This window comes from Homo sapiens, chromosome 10, assembly GCF_000001405.40.
Source record: "Homo sapiens chromosome 10, GRCh38.p14 Primary Assembly".
In the NCBI taxonomy this organism is placed as follows: domain Eukaryota; kingdom Metazoa; phylum Chordata; class Mammalia; order Primates; family Hominidae; genus Homo; species Homo sapiens.
In genome coordinates, this window is record NC_000010.11 from 29,820,754 (window position 1) to 29,837,975 (window position 17,222).

Genomic DNA, 17,222 nt, shown 5'->3' on the forward strand with positions numbered 1-17,222 from the left:
TCAGGATTAATGCAAGAAGGCCTCCTCTTTAGGCCGTTAACCCTTCATACCCTGCACCTGAGCAAGGCTGGGTGGCCCTGAGAAGCCACCTGGTTGGGGGTGTTTTCCATTTGGGAAGTAGCTTAGAGCACAGTTCGGCTTCCAGGGACAAAGAAGGCTGCCATCTCTCCCTCCTCTCTGCTGGCCACACTCCTAGAGCCCCATGAAATCGGCCGCTGCCTGCCAGCTCTTCACAGACGGGCTGGGACGGGCTGTGCAGGGGTGTCCAGGATCATGATTGAGGGGCCCTGGCAGGGAGGAGTGGAAAACAAGGCCTTGATTCCAAGCCCGAGTCATGCTTGTAAGCTCCTTGCCGCTTTCCAATGGAGCGCGAATGCACACTGTCCTCGGCCAGGGTTCTGAGCTGGGCCAATCTTCCCGGGCAGGGCCCAGGGCAGTGTCTCCTTGGGGTGGTGCCCCCAATGCCCACAGGGAGGCAGGGCCACAGTGAGTCATAGGGGCGCGACGACTCTGTCACTTGAAGGGCTCAGGGAGTAGCTCTGCTCTCCTTGTCTCTCCACCCCCTACTTCTGCAGTCCTCATCCCATCTAGCCTGAAGCAGGGCCGAGCTGGGCTACAGTGTGTCTGTCTTGAGCTGCAGAAACTTGACTCTTTAACTGGGACAGACAGTGCTGTCAAGACAAAGCTTCCAAGGATACAGCCTCTCCAGCACCTTAAATTTATCCAACAGACTTCTGCCAGTCTGTCTAAAATAACAGAGGTAAGTATTGTAGAACAGCAGAAAATGCCTTTCTCTACCCTTCTAGGTTCCCTGGCTGGGCTATGAGTTCAATTGACGTAAGCCAGATGAACAGGGAAAAACCATAGTTAATTATGCCTGGGAGTCCCCAAAGTTAGGAGCTTCCAAAAAGGGTCAGATGATTGAAGCTTTTATTTAGCATCCTGAGCGACTGAAAGGAATAGGGGCTTGGGGCTTCTTAAGGGTGGTGGTAACACAACCTTCATTCTCCTTTCTCATGATTTGAGTTTTTCTTCTCTAGTTGGTAAGATTCCCAGAGGGGATTCATGACCTTCGAGTTCCTTTGGGAGGATCTGTCTCTTGGCAGATAAGGGGAGCTCAGGGAAACGTCTGCCGGCATCTGCTGTTCCCCAAGAGCCCTCAGTTGAAAGTACTCAGCATACCAAAGCATCATGTTTTGGGGTGGCATTTCCTGAACTCCTTTGTTGTCATCCAATTTTAATTGTATCCAAGGTTGTTGAGTACAGTTGGATTTGATGAAGAGGTAAAATACTATTGCAACGAGGGAAACATTTCTGGAGGTTCAGAGGTGTATTCTAAATGAATAATAGGCAAGTTCTAGCTTTCTCTCTCTCTCTCTCTCTCTCTTTCTCTCTCCTCCCTCTCCCTCTTTCTTTCTTTTTCTCTTTCTCTTTTCTTTTGCTCTGTAGCCAGGCTGGAGTGCAGTGGCATGATCTCAACTCACTGCAACCTCCGCCTCCCTGATTCTAGCAATTCTTATGCCTCAGCCTCCCAAGTACCTGGGACTACAAGCATGCGCCACCATGTCTGGGTGATTTTTGTATTTTTAGTAGAGACAGGGTTTCACCATGTTAGCCAGGCTGGTCTCGAACTCCTCACCTCAAGTGATCCACCCACCTCAGCCTCCCAAAGTGCTGGGATTACAGGTGTGAACCACCGTGCCCGGCCTCTAGCTGCTTTCTTGAAGAAAGGGTCCTACAAAGTGTGGACACATCATTCCAGGTCCAGACCAAGATAGATTAATGGGCCCAGAAGCTACTGGCTTGAGCCGCTAAGTATTTCAACTTGCTACCTGTCATTCACTCACCTGCTGGCAGAACCTTGATAACTGGCAAAAACTGAACTCAATGGTTCTCTGAAGGGCAAAGCAAAGATTACTCCGCCCCTCACTGTTAAGAAGGCTATTCTGGCCAGAAGCGATAAGCATCTCTCTCTTTATTTTGGAAGCAGAGCAAGGTGTTTTTCACGCAACCTCTAGACAAAGGAAATGCAGTATATCCCAGCATACTGGCAGGGACGTGGGTTTGGGAGACAGGGACAGCTAAGTGGGCATTTTAATGCTGCCACCTGCAAGCTGTGAGATTGGGTAAGGAAGTTATCCTTTCTGAATCCCAGCCTCTGTAGTTGTAAAACGGAAATAGCAAAGTCCACTGCAAAAGTTTGTTGATTTCATATGGGAACATCCGAAAAGCTCCTAATTCTGTGCCTGCCATGGTGTTGGGTGCTGGGAAGTATTCTCTCTTTATTGGCATCAAAGATTCTCCACGGAGATGTGCAAGAGAAAGGAGGGCTTCACCATTTTTTTTGAGACAAGGTCTCACTCTGTCACCCAGGCTGGAGTGCAATGGCCCAATTTCGGCTCACTGCAACCTCCACCTCCAGGGTTCAAGTGATTCCCGTGCCTCAGCCTCCCGAGTAGCTGGGATTACAGGTGCATGCCACCACTCCCAGCTAACTTTTTTTTTGTATTTTTTGGTAGAGACAGAGTTTCACCATGTTGGGCAGGCTGGTCTCGAACTCCTGACCTCAAGTGATCCGCCCACCTCGGCCTCCCACAGTGCTAGGATTGCAGGTGTGAGCTACTGCGCCCGGCCCTTCGCAATGACTTTTTTTTAAACCTACCTAACTGTCCTCCCAACTTCCCAAGTGCCTCAAGCCGGGTAATGAGACATGCTTTCCCAAGTCCTTATCCAGCTTTGTGAAAATCATGGCTATGAGCACTAACCTCCCTAATGGAATTAGGTCTTCTTTCAGAAGTGCAAATTCTCCTAGGAGAAAAAGAATGTTGAGTTCCCGGCGCCACATAGGGATGCATGTCTGGGATGTGCTTTTCTAATCCCTGGAAGTGCCTGACTTCCTGAGAAGACTGAGCGGAGCTAGGGATAAAATGCTGATGGATGAGAGAGGAGATGGGGAAAGACAAGAAGTCAGAAAAGCGAGGCACAGGCCTCGGAAAGTTGGCGTGGCTTTGTTCTCTGATGTCACACCATTTGTTTGGTGGATGATAAACCTGATACATTTATAGTGGAATCTCTTCCCACACTGGCCGTTATACTTTATAAAGACTTTCTAAATGATCTCAGTGGAAATCCCAGTTTTACAAGGAGCCAAATTTTCACCATGTGATGCTATCTTGAAAAACATATGTCCACAGATATTCCTGGACATCAACTTTCAAAACCACTGTTTCTCTTTCTTAAACCATAGAAATATTTAGAAGAATTTTTAGAAACAATTTTTTTAGAAATATGCAAATGGTAAAAATGTATCAAATATTTAAGATACTCAAAAGGAGCCAAAATAATATAATGAATACACCCATGTAGCTGTTAACCAGTTTAATTTTATAGGGTTAAAAACAATAAATATAAACATATTTTTCAGGCTGGGCGAGGTGGTTTATGCCTGTAATCACAACACTTTGGGAGGCCGAGGCAGGCAGATCACTTGAGTCCAGGAGTTTAAGACCGGCGGGTGACATAGGGAGACCCCATCTCTACAAAAAATTTAGAAGTTGCCAGGTGTGGTGGCACACACCTGCAGCCCCAGCTAGTCGGGAGGCTGAGGTGGGAAGATGGCTTGCACTCAGGAGGTGGAGGCTGCAGTGAGCCATGATCGATTGCTCCACCGCACTCCAGCCTGGGCAGCAGAGTGTGACCCTGTCTCAAAAAAAAAAAAAAAAAAAAATTCCTGGAAGGCATTTTGATGAAATAACAATACATAAAAAGGAAAGTAAGAGAATCCTGAACACAGACTTCAGGATGGTGGTTATGCTGAGTGGAAAAGCAAGGAAACAAAAAAGGATCACAGAGCTAGAGGGAATGTCCAGGATTTAGCCTTCTTAGAGGGTGTCATGAATCAAAATCTGTTAGAAATTCTGCCTTCAAAATTCTATGAAGGCTTCCTCTAAAAGACTTAAAGCCCAGGTGGGGAAAATTCTTGAGCTCTTCAAAAATCACAGGTCTAAGAAAAGACAATGAGGCCTGGCGCAGTGGCTCATTTCTGTAATCCCAGCACTTTGGGAGGCCAAGGCGGGCAGATCACCCGAGGTCAGGAGTTCGAGACCAGCCCGTGCAACATGGTGAAACCCTGTCTCTACTAAAAATACAAAAATTAGCTGGGGGCTGTGGTGCACGCCAGTAATCACAGCTACTTGGGAGGCTGAGGCAGGAGAACCATTTGAACCCGGGAGGTGGAAGTTGCAGTGAGCCGAGATGGCACCACTGCTCTCCAGCCAGGGTGATAAGGCAAGACTCTGTCTCAAAAAAAACAAAAAACAAAAAAACAAAAAAAAAACAATGAACTTTTTGGACAATATGCTTCGTATACTTCATTCACTGAGTATGCAATCTAGATTCACAAAGCTAGTTTTTAGGGTGACACTTCATTCAGTGGATATGCAACTTAGATTCCCAAAGCAATAGGCCAGCATTGGGACTGACTAGATGTAGCAAAATGACCCCAATTTTCTATACCATGGTTTAGGGACACAAAACCAGGGAACACTTAACCAGGCCTATTCTACTGGGGTGATCAAAGAAGAGTTAAACAAATCCAACCACAAGCACAAAATAAAGCCCATGTGAGCGGCACACGGCACACATGTAACTTTATATTATAAATCATTTCCTCATATTTTCAAAGGAAAGGAAGTTCTATAAAGTGATTGTATTTACTACACATCTGGTATCAGAGATATTCAAGATTGCTATAAAATGATTATTTATAACTCAATAGCTACTCTTGTTTACTACATAGAATACATCACCATCCCATATTGTTACATTAAATCAGCATTTTCCCCACTTTTACTGCATTTGTTATCAAGCCTGTGGCTCAGGCAAAAATGCCTTACAAAGAGCAGCCTAGAAGGTAATAAATAAGATGCACTTCTAATCTGCCTGGGGTTCGAAAGTTTATTCCAGCTGAGTCCACATGTAACCCAGAGAAGAAGCCCCTCTGTTTGTTCCCTTAGGCATTCTTCCCTCTTGGAATACATTTCAAGGAGGGGCAGGGTAATATCATCTTAGGTACAGAGCTCTGTAGGAGTACAAAGTACCCTATGGAGCTAAGGCAGTGAGAAGACTGGACTGGGCATTGGATAGTGCTGACGGAGTGGGCAGGTTTTGTTCTTGTGGTCATTCAGCATCCACTCCTCCTTCTTTGGTAGTTGCATTCCAATTTGGGGGACGGAGGATAGAATTATTCCTCCCTTATGAGATGAGTTTGGAGGAGATTTTTACTCAAGGCTCCATGCCTTTCTCTGGTTAAGGGATATTCACTTGACACAAGCAAGACCAAGTGAGCTCTTCCTAACCCAGGAGCCTCTCTGGGATTTGAATCACAATCCCTCCTTGTGTGGAGGAAGACAAGAAACAGAGTGATGAAAAGACAGAAAGCCATCAGAGTTCATTCATTCGAGTGGTGGTTCTTGGATAAGACTGCCCCCATATCCTAAAACCCCAAGAAAGCACCCGGTCCCTGTCCTCTGTAAGCCTGGTTCTAAAATCCTAGGAGCCCCCTCAAACTCTTCCAATAAATTCCCCTGTGACTTTGTGGTTAACTTAGCTAGACTCTCTGTCTATTACTTGCCATCAAAGAACTTGAAGCCTAAACCCTGGGGCTGCCACGCCTTAGCTGAGTGGTCTTGAAAACTCACTTCACTCAACCCTAAAACAAACAGGACACAACCTGTCCTATGGAGTTGATCACACAAATTGGCAAATAGGAAATTCCCAATCTGGCGAGCGAGATGGATTGAGTTTACGCTGCTTCACACACTCTCTGGAGACTCCTTAAAGATGTATGTTGTATAAAGAATCAATTCCAACTGCAGAATGAATGCTGACAGGCACCATCAGCTCCTGCCCGTGTGTCTTCAACTCTCTCCCATTGGAAAAATCAATGAATCAGTAATAATATTGTCCCCTCCTTCCTGTAAAGGAAATCTGAGCTAAATCCCAAGGCTGCCATGTAAATTTCCTCATATTGTTGCTTTCCTTCCCCCTCTCCCGCCCCAAGCCTTTGACAAAAATGATGGGCTGTGATCTGTGTCCTAGTAGCAGGAAGCCTGTCAGACCTGACTCTTGCTGACTCTTTCATCTCCCGGCAGCTCCAGGAAGCAAAAGAAAAAAAAAAAAAAAAGGTGGGGGAATCTGCTGCCATCACCCCCATCCAAACCAGGCTCAGGAAATTTTCCAGGGCCAGGCTGCCTTTGTGGAAGCTATGTAAGGACTGGAGAAACACATGTTCTCATGCAAACAAACCCCAAAACAAAACAAGGGATCCTGCCTTTGTACCTGGCCTGTCTCCAAAGGTGGTACATTATCTCCAAAGGTGGCCACCATCATTTCCTTCTCTCCCTATATGTGATTTCCTTCTCTATTGGCTCCATTCATCAAGAAGTAGAGGTGATTCCTGCTCTTCCTCTTTGAACTTGGGCCAGCCTTGTGATTTGCCTTGACCAACTGGACATGGAGGAAGTGATACTGTGCCGGTGCTTAGCCCGGCCTTTTAGAGGCCTGGCATCTTCAGCTCTCTCTCAGGAGAATACTTGTACCTGGATCTTCACTAGGGGTAAGTCCTTGTTCTCGATTTTAAACATTTATTTAGCCAACTAAGTGCTCTATTAATTCTAGTTGAAGGGGAGATGCAGAGACAGTGTTCTAGTTGCTAATGCTGTGTGAGAAAGCACCCCAGAAGGTCGTAGGTGAAACAACTATCTTAAGATGCTGGCTGATCGGGGCTGGGGCATTCAGAAGGGCCAAAGCAAGAGTGGCTTGTCCCTGCTCTATGGTTCTTGGATAACTCAAAGGGCTGGGGGCTGAGAGAGTGGAGGAAGGAGGACACACTTCCAGATGGCTTGCTTGTTCATGCACGTGGTTATGCACCGGGCAGGAACAGGGACAGCCAGAGGGCCAAGCTCAAACTGACAGCTAAAGAGCCCAGAGGGGCAGTCCTTGGGGGAGGCGGTGCCCACTGCCTGCCTTATAGACCGTATCCCTACCATCACCTTGACTTACTTTCCGCTATATGTTATTGGAGGGAGCAGTCCCTAGCCGTCCTAGATTCAAATGAGGGGTATAGACCTCACCTCCCAAGGTGGAGTCAGTAACAGGGAACTGTGGGCCACATTTAAAACCATGACAGGCTAGTGAATGGCTTTCTGGGAGATTTATGGGTGAAGGGAGGAGGAGAGTCTTGAAGAAGCCCAGATTCAGTCATTCTAAGCGTTTGTCACAAATGGATCTATCATCTGGGTTTCAAATACAGCTCTCAGATGACTGCTCTTCAAGAGGCTGGGCACAGTGGCTTATACCTATAATCCTAGCACTTTTAGAGGCTAAGGCGGATGGATCAGCTGAGGTCAGGAGTTCGAGACCAGCCTGGCAAAAACGGTGAAACCCCATCTCTACTACAAATACAAAAATTAGCTGGGTGTGGTGGTGCACACCTGTAATCCCAGCTATTTGGGAGGCTGAGGCAGGAGAATTGCTTGAACCCAGGAGACAGAGGTTGCAGTCAGCAGAGATTACCACCACTGCATTCCAGCCTGGGTGACAGAGTGAGACTCCATCTCAAAAAAATGAAACAAAAAACAAAACAAACAAACAAACAAAAAACAAAGACTGCCTTGTGTTTCCTTGCAGGCAGCCAGGGCAGAATGCGGTGTTCTCAAGACTGCCATGCTGGCTCATCCATACCTTGTTGGACTTGATAAGTATCGTAACCTAATGAAGGATGCCATTCTGTGCTCTGCAAGGCCTGGGGGAGCCCCAGTGGGAAGGGATCCAGATGGTGCTGGGCCTGGGCCAAAAGTGAAATGGGGGAGGACGGGTCCTTTCTCTCCTTTGTCCCTAACCTCCCCACTTCCTACTGCTGTCTGACTCAGAACCCTCATGAAAAACCCAACTTTTTACACTGATATTTCCCAGAGGCCTAATTGTGCAACAAGAAATAAAAACACAATTAGGGAACTGAGGTCCAGCAGGAAATTCATGTTACATAAATAAGACCTGGAGTGCATAGGGGAGTGCCCCAGCTCTCAGCCTTGTTAGTATTGAAGGCTCCGAGCACACAGATCTGGGATCCTCTGATTTGGTGGATAACCCTTGTGAACAATAATTCTCTGAAAAGGTATTTGGAGGAAAGAGACTTTATTCCTGTAAACAGTTTTCAAACTAGGGGAATGCAGCTTTCAGTGTAAAATGAAGGTGCTTTCCAGACAACAAAGGAGGGGCTGGGCTTTTATAGAGAAAGTTCCTGCCCTGTTCCCACTCAGGTCCACTTATGCAAATAAAGGATTCAAACTTGCTTAATCTGATTGGTTGATGCTTGCTGAGTTCTGATTTGTTGACACAGGTCATAGTCTATTGGTTGGTTCCGGCAACATAAACAAGAACAGGAAGCTATGAAAGTCCCAAAGTTAAGCAGATGTGGGTTTTCTGGGAACTCAAAAACATGTGTGACTTCTAGTCAGCAAGTTGCCGCTTGGCTCTAAATTGAATTTAGGCCCTGTTAGCCAGAGTGTGAACCTTGAGAGAGCCGGCCTTTCAAGGTTCACACTCTTCACATGGGCTGGAGAGATTCCTATCATAACTGATTTATCCATTCACCCATTGACAGGCACTTGGATTGCTTCCACCTTTAGGGTGTTGTGGACAACATCAACACTGCTACAAACATGGGTGGACAAAAGGCTAGTTCTCCTCAACCATGGTGTATGTAGCTGGAGGGAAAATGCCAAAAGCTGCATTATGAGAAACAGTAAAGTCAAAACTGGAAAGATGGATCAAAGCGTGATGTCTCCCTGAAGCCCCTCCTACTAGGCTTGAGGTGAAGGAGAAGCACAGGAAGAAAAGTGCCTCAGTGCTCCAACAACTTTTTCCAAAGAAGCCCTCTTTCTCATTTCCAACTTTAAACCTTTTAAAACTTTGATTGGCATAGAGCTAAGGGTTGGAGAACATTGTCACTTCCCTCCTTTGCAAGTCTGTGTGGATAGTTGTATGTTATCTCCAAAGGTGGCCACCATCATTTCCTTCTCTCCCTATATGTGATTTCCTTCTCTATTGGCTCCATTCATCAAGAAGTAGAGGCGATTCCTGCTCTTCCTCTTTGAACTTGGGCCAGTCCTGTGATTTGCCTTGACCAATTGGACATGGAGGAAGTGATACTGTGCCAGTGCTTAGCCTGGCCTTTGAGAGGCCTGGCATCTTCAGCTCTCTCTCAGGAGAGAATGCAGCAGGCATGTAAGAAGGCTGATGAATCAGACCACCATATTATGAGGAAGCCCAAGCTAGCCACATGGAAATGGCACACAAAGGAAAGCTGAGGAACGAAACCAACAGAAGCATCAGGTCCCCAGCCATATGACCCAGTTAAGCCACCTTAGCTATGTGGTATTCCAGGTAAGGTTCCCTGCTATGTGGTATTCCAGGTAAGGTCCCAGAATTTAGTCATGGAGGTGAGCCATTCCCTCTGTGCCTTGTACAAATTTCTGAGCCAAATAATTTTGAGAAAATAAAAGACCTATTTTATACTGTGAAGTTTTGGTGCATGCTGTTATGTAGCAATAGATAACCTAGAGCAGTGGTCTAGCACTTCATTTTGGAATGTGGGAGTACTTAGTTTACTGCTTTATTCTTAGCCTTTTGAAACCTCAGCAGAAAATGAGACAAGTAAAATCCCATTTTAACATCCTGTTACATATATTTCAAGATCATCTGTGAAAATGTACATGTGATGCTTTGTTAACCTTTAACAGCCTGTCTTAAAAGACACTATCGTCGAGCAGAAGCCTCTAAAAACAGAATCTTTACAATCAGCAACAGGCTGGCTCCTGACACTTCGGGGGATGAGGCAAGAGTACGAATAGAGACCTACATACCACATGTTTAGATACTTAAAGGCTGTAAATCAAGCTAACAACCTATTAAACAAAATATGCTGTAGCTTGCTGCTTTGAAAAAAATACTGTCATGATGACCTTGAAGTCCAAGTTCAAATTTAGAATTCTCAACTGTCTGGAATTCCGCAGTGGAATATGGTGGTGTGGGGAGAGCTAACCCTGGCTCCAGGCCTTTGTTCCATAGCTCACCCTCTCTTCTCTCATTCCTTCTGTGCTGTGGGAGGACTCATTCTCATCCACGTGGACACCCCAGCACAAACAACCAAACTCCAGTCACCAGCACACTCAGGGGTATGATCCAGAAAGAGGAAAGCTATGTCCCTCTAGCTCTGGGGATGCCTTGTCCTGGAGGGAGGCACAAAACTGGATAAGAGTCAGCATTTATTTCCCTAGAGTTAGGGGTTGTAGTACAGTTTAGCAAACTGCAAAGTCTGATGGAATAGTCCCTTACTTCAGACAATAGTTGCAAGTTTAGGGGTCCCCAGGACCACCCTCAAGTTCAATAATTCTCTAGAATGGTTCAGAGAACCCAAGAAAGCATTATACATAGCATGAGAATGTGTGTGTGTGTTTGTTTTAACAGTTGAAAGTTACACAAGAAAATCAATCAAGGGAAGAGACACACAGGACAAAGTCCAGTTGGGATCCAAAGGAAGAAGATCCTTTGGTTCTCTTCCCATGCATTTATGATCAGTGTATTGGTCCATTCTCACATTGCTATAAAGAAATACCTGAGACTGGGTAATTTATAAGGGCAAGAGGTTTAATTAGCTCACAGTTCTGCAGGCTGTACAGGAAGCATGATGCTGGCTTCTGCTTAGCTTCTGAGAAGGCCTCAGGAAACTTACAGTCATGGCGGAAGGCAAAGAAGGAGCCAGCACTTCACATGGCCAGAGCAGGAGGAAGAGAGAGAGGGGAGGTGCAACACACTTTTAAACAACCAGATCTCACAGGAACTCACTCATTATTGCCACAATAACACCAAGGAGCATGGCGTTAAACTATGAGAAACCACCCCTATGATCCAATCACCTCCCACCAGGCCTCACCTCCAACACTGGGAATTACAATTTGACATGAATTGTAATTGGGCAGCTCCACACCATATCAGATAGCATTGCCTCCTCCTGGCCAGGACAATGTACACAGGGTACAGCCAACCGAGGATGCTCACCTGAGCCTTGGCTGTCCACAGTTTTTGCTTGGGGTCTATCGCATACTGCTCATGTGGGTGACCTTCAGTCTGCAGCCCCTTTTAAGAGGCTCAGGCTAATAATTCTGGAAGTTGGAACTGATATGATGTGTCTCCAAAACCCCATCATAAATCATATCATTAGACTATCCAGTGGCTAAAGTCCCCAGGCAAACAAAGTCCCTCTTATTGGGCAGGACATTCCAGGGGCTTGGAGATCACCACTCAGTAGCCGAGAGCAAAGGCCAAACTTCTCTTTCAGGAAGGCTAATCCTTCACTTCCCCAGGGCCCAGGGTTGCGCCCCTCCTGCCTAGCTCTAGAATGATATTGATCAGAAATACTCTCAATGATTGACATAAACCCAAAGTGAGCAAGACAACAGAAGAAATGATGTGGCTGCATATTGAACTCTCCAAGGAGTCTACATTTAAATAGATGGAAGAAATGGAAGGAGAACCCCAGTCCAAGAAGAGATGCAAAAAATGGCAGTGCTTAGCAGGGAGAATATTGGGAAAGCCAGGATGAGCTAAGGCTTGTGAAAAGCACCAGCCCAAATGGGCTTTTTTTAGCGGGGAGGGGGAAAGACAGTGTCTGGCTCTGTCACCCAGGCTAGAGTGCAGCCGCATGATCATGGCTCACTGCAGCCTCAACTTCCCAGGCTCAAGTGATCCTCCCTACCTCAGCCTCCTGAGTAACTGGGACTACAAGCTGGGATTACAAGTGCATGCCACCATGCCCGGCTATTTTTTTTAATTTTAATTTTTGTACAGATGGAGTCTTGCTATGTTGTCTAGGTTGGTCTCGAACTCCTGGACTCAAGTGATCCTCTTGCCTTGGCCTCCCAAAGTGCTGGGATTACAGGTGTGAGCCACCAGGCCTGGCCCAAAATGGGCTTTTTAGCAACATTCCAAGAAGAAACACCAAGAAAGGTCTTCTCTGGGTGATGGTGTGATGCAGCACTGTGGGAAATTGGCTCTCTTGCCCCAGAAAGCTCCACGAAGTAGAGGTATCTGGTCACTTACCCAGTTAGAAAAGCAACAAAGCTATGAGAAAATCAGAGCCAAAGAGAGCAAGAGGCTAAGGAGGGAAGGTCAAATGTTTGCAGCCCATCTGAATTTGGCTGGGAATCTGCAAAGCTCCCTTATTGCATCTTTTCAGAGTAAGACGGGGAAACGTAAAGTAGGAGAGAGAATTGGCAGGAGAGTCACATCTGGTTGTAGAGCACCATGCTCAAAGGTGTCCACCTGGAGGGCTCCTCTGTTGGTTGTTTAAATTCCTTATTTTATTGTCAACTTGGATCAAGAAATTGAAACTATCCTTATCACTGCACAGATGACATGAAGCTGGGAAGGATCACTGATACCCGGGTAGAAGAATCAAGATTCAAGAAGATCATAGGCTGAGTTCAGTGGCTCACACCTGGAACCCCAGCACTTTGGGAGGCCGAGGTGGGAGGATCACTTGAGCCCAAGAGTTTGAGACTAACCTGGGCAACATAGCAAGACCCCATTTCTACAAAAAATTTTAAAAATTTAGCCGGATGTGTTGGCATGCAATTTTAGTCCCAGCTACTTGGGAGGCTGAGGCGAGAGAATCTCTTGAGCCCAGGAATGGGAGGCTGCAGTGAGCCGTGATGGCATGTGCCACTGCACTCCAGCCTGGGTGACAGAGTGAGATCCCCATCTCAAAAAAGGAAAAAAAGATGGATCTTGGCAGAATGTAATACAACAACAAAGGGAATTTAATTGTCATTAGTGTATGTGTGTTTGTATATATATATATATATATATATATATGTATATATATGTGTATATATATGTATATATATGTGTATATATATGTATATATATGTGTATATATATGTATATATATGTATATATACATACATAAAATTCTAAATTCAAATGGCTAATTTAAAATGGATTTTAAAGTAAGATGCTAATTATTATGAAATGGACACTTTCAGAGGCAACATGAGAATATATAAATTTGCATAAACATATATATATGTTATGTACATACAAGTTTAGGTTATACATGCAAGCAGGGAGACCTGGCTTAATAGGAATTTGTGTGAAGAACCTTGAGGGGTTTTTAGTTAACTTTAAGCTCTGTGTGAACCCACAATATAGTTACTCCAAAGTATAAACAGGACCTTAGAATGCATTGAGAGAAATAAAGCCAATAAATCAATGAAAGTACTAGCAGTCCTACTATAGTCAGACACCTTCTGGAAGACTAGCATTTTGGCTTTGTATTTTAACCATCAGGTCCAGAGAGAGGTGGTTCAAATGATAATGACTTTGGAAATGGCATCATTTAGGACTGAAAAAGCTCAAGGTTTTGAGTCTGGAAAGAGAAGGCTTAGAGGAGACTTGCAGGCTGCCCTGTAATATTTGAAGGGCTGTCACAGGGAGAGGGTAGTAGATTTATTCTATGGAACTCTGGAGTGGCAAGATTAGGATGTATGAATGAAGACTACAGGGAGAGTTCAACTCAATACAGGGAAGAAGTCTCCAAAATTCATGCCTTATATAGCAGTTAGCTTCCCATCCCTGGAAGTGTCCACCAGGGATATTGCAGAGAAGGTTTTTGGAATCCAGGGAGATACAATATCTGAATACGATGGAGGATTCCTAATGGTGGAAGCTTCAAGCATGGTGGCAGGCTGCAGTGCTCATCAAACTAGACCACGAAGGCAACTGTCGGCTGCCCCTGCAGTAACGAAGGGATGGCTCTGGTCCCAGAACTAGATTACTTTTCCCCTTTAGTCTTAAAGGTTTGTAATAAATCAATAGCTTTGTTGCACCCGGACTGAGATTCTGGCTTTTCACATTGGCAAAAACACACTCTCATTTGACTGTAATGCAATTGGAATAAAATTAACTCACTTTCCATATGGTCAGGTGTGCAGAAAGCCCACGTCCTTCTTCCTTTTTCCTGGATTGGAATTTTTTTGTATGTTTCAAACATCTGCACTGCTCATGGTCTCCTATTTGTGGCTGATGAGATGTTGAGATGGCCCAGGGGCTGCCTTCTTTTACTCATTCCTCTATAAAACTCATAGCAGCTATAAAAACCAGCTATTTTCTAGAAATTGTGCCTCTATTATTTTCCATATACAAGATGTGGCACCTGCAAAGATATATCTGTGCTGACTTTGTAAAAGTTCAGCTTGGCTTTTCTTTTCACTGCAAAGGGTACATTTGATGAGAATCAGATGGAGTTTGAGGTCATAAGTGGTAGTTTGCCAATAGAGTTTTACTTAAGAGATGGGAAAATAACAACAATAGATGCCTGTGCCTTCAGGCTAAGATGCTAATTATTGTGAAATGGACACTTTCAGAGGCAACATGAGAATATATAAATTTGCATAAACTTAAGAAAGCTCTTGGGTGTTTTAGGGCCTGCAGGGATGGATAAAGTATTTCCCAAATACTTACAAGGCTGACTTCTCTGAGAATGTGACTCATTTTTCCCTAACTGTATAAATGCATGTGCTCTGTTAGGGTTCTGGTAGACATATGCACAGAAAATCCTCAGAGGTCAACAGAAAAATCAGTAGATTATGCTCGTGCTGATAATGCTGTTTCCAAACTCAGATGAAGACAGAGCCTACTCTCTTCATTAGCTGACATTACTGCATCAAAATGAGGTTTATGGTGTTGGCAATATGATAAATTATGATTGCATTTACTGTTATCACCCCCTCCAACTCTTTTTTGTTTTGTTTTTTACATTTAAAAATGTCCTTTCAATGTTTTACAAATTTCTAGTCATCTGAGAAAGAGACAGCCTCATAGATGACACATAGAGTGTTTTACTAAATCAATGAACTCTTGGTGGGTACTAGGAGGGAAATGTACTGTATCTTCTCAAAAGGTCAATCAAGAGTTTACCCATGAGGGACTCCCTTGTCTCCACTTTGTTTGTTCAACCCTTAGATGAAGAGAGAATAAGGATAGCATGCAGGTATTGCCATTGGAAGTTGTCTTGTAATGTGGCATCACAGAAACTTCCAGCTCTCTATGAGCACAGCCCCACTGTGTGCAGATACATGTGTGTGCACATGTGTGCATCTGTGAAGGCTAGAGATATGTGTAGGTGGACTGGGTGGCCCCCCTGGCAGTGAAAATTAACCAAACACAAGGCTTTTTGGTTCTCAAATTCTATGTCATCTGAATTTAGAATTAAAAAGCGACTTCAGAAATGACCTTCTTGCATGTCAGAATCTGCTGGGGAGCATTACAAAAGACAAACAAAAAACAATACCTGAGCTGTAAACCAGACCATTTGAATATGAATTTCTGGGAGTAGGGTCCATGCATCTGTATTTTCTAAGCTACCCAGGTAATGCTGTTGTACATTAAGATCAAAGAATCACTGCTCTGGTCCAATCCCTTTATCTTACGTATTGAGGTCGACTAGTTAACTAGGGCCAGATTGGCGGTAGAATCTTCAGGTGTGTCCTTTTTAAATACAACTAACCCAGAAGGGAAGAGGATAAAGTTAGTTGTTGGTGTCACCTGCCTTTCCAGTCATCCGCATTTACTTCTTTGGTTGAATTCCCACTCCCACCCTAATCTTCCAGTGCTGAGCCCTCCAGGTTCCTCCTCTTCCCATTGCCCTTTAGTGTTTAAGAAAGACCCATTCACCATCATTGTGACTACTGTGTTGACTAATGAATGACAGCTTCAAGTACTTCCCTTCCCTGGATATTTAAACATATGTCAAAGCTTATCAAGTCACTTCACCTTTCTGGGATTTCAGTCTTATCACTTGTAAATAGAGTTGGCCTTTCCAAAATACGGTTCTCACGGTGGAATCGTAGGTATTAGCAAATGGGTAGAGGAGGAATTCTAACCCAAGGAAGATAACTTTCATATCCCTTGAAATCATACAGAGTGACCCATGCTGCTGCACTTTGCTGTGGACTTGTCCAAAGATGTGTTTAGTCCACAGCATTGATTTAGGGCCTGTTCTATGTCATTAAGGAAACCACGTCAAGGCCCTGTCCTCAGGGGTTCATGCTAGCCTTCAGGCTATTCCACCATTATAAGCTCTTCCACACTTCCTAGGAATCAGAGTTAGCTGTGAGCCACCACCATTAAAAAAGATAGGCTAAAAAATTTCTTTTTCCCTGAAGGAGAAAACAAGAAAAATGGTAATGATTGTGCAACAGGGAGAAAAAAAAATTATAAAATGTTACAGGGTGATATGGCTTGGCTGTGTCCCCATCCAAATCTCATTTTGAATTGTAGCTCCCATAATTCCCACATGTCGTGGGAGGGACCCAGTGGGAGATAATTGAATCATGGGGGCGGGTCTTTCTCATGCTATTCTCATGATAGTGAATAAGTCTCATGAGATCTGATCGTTTTATAATGGGGAGTTTCCCCATACAAGTTCTCTTCTCTTGTCTGCTACCATGTGAGATGTGCCTTTCCTTTCACCTTCCGCCATGATTGTGAGGCCTCCCAAGCCACGTGGAACTGTGAGTCATTAAGCCTCTTTCTTTTATAAATTGCCCATTCTCAAGTACGTCTTTATCAGCAGCATGAAAACGAACTAATACACAGGGTTATCGATGAATAGTTACTGGCAGAGACTCTAAAAAAAAAAAAATTGTAACAACACTTTCAATAAGGATATATTATTTTCATAATAAGAAATCACAAATTAATATTTTGAAAGAGTAGGTTCAATCCCTGGAGGTTTGTGGACTCAAGGACCAAAAATCTAAGCTGTCTGATCAGCCAGACCCAGCCCACCAATAGATGTTCACATTTTACTGGCAGGGGTCCATTCTTGACCTTGAGCTTGACTGTTGAAAGTACAACTGCTCTCACAGAGGGAGCATGCCAAGTCTAACTGAGTGTTCATGCATGAGTGTGGCAGAGGTTGGAAGATTCTTCCTTGAGAGCAATTACAGTAGATGGGAGGTGATGGGTCAAGGAAGCTGGGTGAAGAGGTCAAGGCAAGGCCAGGGTCACAGCGGCACTGGGGGCTGTCAGAATTGCTGGGCTGTATTGTTCATTGCTGGCTTGCTGATGCTTTCTTAGCCCCTTGAGTTCTGACAGTT

At 44.6% G+C, this 17,222-nt stretch overlaps 1 long non-coding RNA gene across 2 annotated transcripts; it reads left to right on the forward strand.

Moving 5' to 3' along the window:
- The first annotated feature begins 363 nt into the window (after window positions 1–363).
- LOC105376476 (uncharacterized) lies at window positions 364–8,358 on the forward strand. 2 transcript variants are annotated; one of them, XR_930790.2, is made up of 3 exons: window positions 364–760; window positions 6,443–6,616; window positions 7,690–8,358. It is a non-coding gene; the product is annotated as an uncharacterized LOC105376476 (long non-coding RNA). The 2 variants fall into 2 exon arrangements; XR_930789.2 differs by lacking the exon at window positions 364–760 and having other exon boundaries at window positions 4,327–6,616.
- Window positions 8,359–17,222: the final 8,864 nt, after the last annotated feature.